This window comes from Homo sapiens, chromosome 2 (genome assembly GCF_000001405.40).
Source record: "Homo sapiens chromosome 2, GRCh38.p14 Primary Assembly".
In the NCBI taxonomy this organism is placed as follows: Eukaryota; Metazoa; Chordata; class Mammalia; order Primates; family Hominidae; genus Homo; species Homo sapiens.
The window spans coordinates 121,775,003-121,777,710 of NC_000002.12; the positions used below are offsets into that span (position 1 = coordinate 121,775,003).

The following is a 2,708-nucleotide window of genomic DNA, read 5'->3' on the forward strand; positions in this document are numbered from 1 at the left end:
TCATGCCTGTAATCCCAGCACTTTGGGAGGCCAAGGTGGGTGGATCGCCTGAGGTCAGGAGTTTATGACCAGCCCGGCCACCCTGGTGAAACCCTGTCTCTACTAAAAATACAAAAATTAGCTGGGCATGGTGGCGGGCGCCTGTAATCCCAGCTACTTGGGAGGCTGAGGCAAGAGAATTGCTTGAACCCAGGAGGCGGAGGTTGCAGTGAGCCGAGATTGCACCACTGCACTCCAGCCTGGGCAACAGAGTGAGACTCCATCTCAAAAACAAAACAAACAAGTAAAAAAACCAGAACCCGGGAGGCAGAGGGCGGAGGTTGCAGTGAGCTGAGATCGTGCCATTGCACTCCAGCCTGGGCAACAAGAGCAAAACTCCGTCTCAAAAAAAAAAAAAAAAAGTAAAAGGAAAGTGATGGACAGAAAACAGAAATGAAGTACAGAAACAGCCTGGTTGGTTACAGCTGGATGTTTGCCTTATTTGAACCATGGTTCAAACGGATGGCTACATTTGATTGGCCAAAACTTGGTGATTGGCGTTAAGTGTAGGCTATGGTCTGTTTACACCTCCACTTGTTATAGTTCACGATGTACAGAGAAACCTTTAGGCTGAACTTACAAATGTAAGGAGGCAGCTTTAGGTAAACTTGATTTAACAGCTGACATTATTGAAAAAAACATATCACTGTTGGATATTCCTATGAAACTAGATGATGTTGTATGCCATTTTCTTCTTTGTTAAAGCATTTTTACATTCATCACATCACCTGACTTTTGAAGCTGTCGTGTGACCCATTCTGTGACTCATTCTGTGTGACTCCTGGGGTTGATGGCTTGTGTCTCAGACAGTTGGAGGAGGAGGTGTTCCCAGGGGTTGCACTGCTTTTCTTCCTCAGCCAGCCCATCCTCTCTCTCTGCTATCACCTACTTACATGCTTGTTGGCTTGTTCTTTAGCCTTGAATTCTGGTCACCACTTGACAGTGTCAAGGGTTCAAAACTGATCTGCTGCTGCTGTGGAAAACACTTTTAAAAAGTTAATTTTTTTTTCTTTTTTGAGACAGAGTCTCGCTTTGTCACCCAGGCCGGAGTGCAGCGGCGCGATCTCGGCTCACTGCAAGCTCCGCCTCCCGGGGTCACGCCATTCTCCTGCCTCAGCCTCCCGAGTAGCTGGGACTACAGGTGCCCACCACCAAGCCTGGCTAATTTTTTGTATTTTTAGTAGAGACGGGGTTTTGCCATGTTGGCCAGGCTGGTCTTGAACTCCTGACCTCAGGTGATTCACCCACCTTGGCTTCCCAAAGTGCTGGGATTACAGGCGTGAGCCACTGTGCCTGCCCTTGCAACTGAAATTCTGTACCCATTAAATAATAACTCCCTTTTACCCCTCTTCCTAGCTCTAGCAACCTTCATTGTACTTTCCATCTCTATGAATTAGACAATTCTGGCTACTACATGTCAGTAGAACCACACAGTATTTATCCTTTTGTGACTGGACTGGCTTATTTCATTAGCATAATGGCTTCCAGGCTTAGCCATATTGTAACACGTGTCAGAATGTTCTTCCTCTTCAGAGCTGAGTAACATTTCATTGTGTGTGTAGACCACATATTGTTTGTCTATGACCTGCCAGTGGGTACTTGGGTTGCTCTGCCTTTTGGTTTTGGCTATGGCGAATCAGACTGCACTTTTAAGACAATGTGTCGTAGGTATGATTTTTATGGGCCATGAACTTAGGTATGCAAAAAAGTAAATTTCTCTATAACAGACCTAATTTCTGTCTTGAACATGTCTTCTCTCTTATAGTATAAACAATTCCAGTGTATTTTTCCTCAGTGACGTATTGGTGTCCTCAGTGATTTTGGATGAGAATTCAGTTTGGGATTTTTTTTCCTTCTGACCACATCCCTTTGATGGATCTCAGTTCCGTGCCATGGCAGTGTGTGTGTGTGTGTGTGTGTGAGAGAGAGAGAGAGTGTGTGTGTGTGTGAGAGAGAGAGAGTATGTGTGTGTGTGTGTGAGAGAGAGTATGTGTGTGTGTGTGTGAGAGAGAGAGGGAGAGAGGGAGTGTGTGTGTGTGTGAGAGAGTATGTGTGTGTGAGAGAGAGAGGGAGAGGGAGAGAGAGTGTGTGTGTGTGTGATTGTGTGTGCACGTGTGTGTGGCTGGTCTGCAGTCATACTCTGCCTTAGGCTGACAGCTTCGGAGGTGCAAATGTGTGTTTCCCTCATTCTACTTTGGCATCCATCATGAAGCCCGCCTTTCCTGGGCCTCGGACCATATGGCCCATGTTTGTCTTTGCTGCGGCTTTCCCTTCTCTTGACTGCAGGACCAGCTCTTCTCCACTGGTTGACTTTTACACCCCACTGGGAGACGTGGGGAAATTTGGCTTACACATTACATGGGGCCAAGGGAGTCTTGTGGGGTTGCCCCAGCATGTTGGTTGCCATTCTATAGAACTGTTCCATGCCTTAACAGTACAAGAAAGTACTGCAAGGCTGTCACCTCCTGGGAGTCTCGACAAGGGGCGGGGTGAAAGTCCCCTCTCCTCTGTCAGATCGGAATGTGTTGAGGGGTTCTGTCATCCTCTTATCTTGGAGATCACCTTCGGGGACTGGTTAGGAGCCGAGATTCTCATGAATTTCTCACTCTGAATAGTCTTCCAACTCTTTTTCTATCCTTAGAATGTTTTAATCTCCTTTCTCTAGTGGG

At 46.7% G+C, this 2,708-nt stretch overlaps 2 annotated features.

Annotated features, from left to right (window-relative positions):
• Nucleotides 628-1,602: an enhancer, noted in NCBI's record as "H3K27ac-H3K4me1 hESC enhancer chr2:122533206-122534180 (GRCh37/hg19 assembly coordinates)". NCBI's record gives its function as "activates a minimal SCP1, AML or CMV promoter by ChIP-STARR-seq in naive H9 embryonic stem cells {active_cell/tissue: H9 hESC(naive)}" and the evidence as "EXISTENCE:reporter gene assay evidence [ECO:0000049][PMID:30033119]".
• Nucleotides 1,603-2,577: an enhancer, noted in NCBI's record as "H3K27ac-H3K4me1 hESC enhancer chr2:122534181-122535155 (GRCh37/hg19 assembly coordinates)". NCBI's record gives its function as "activates a minimal SCP1, AML or CMV promoter by ChIP-STARR-seq in naive H9 embryonic stem cells {active_cell/tissue: H9 hESC(naive)}" and the evidence as "EXISTENCE:reporter gene assay evidence [ECO:0000049][PMID:30033119]".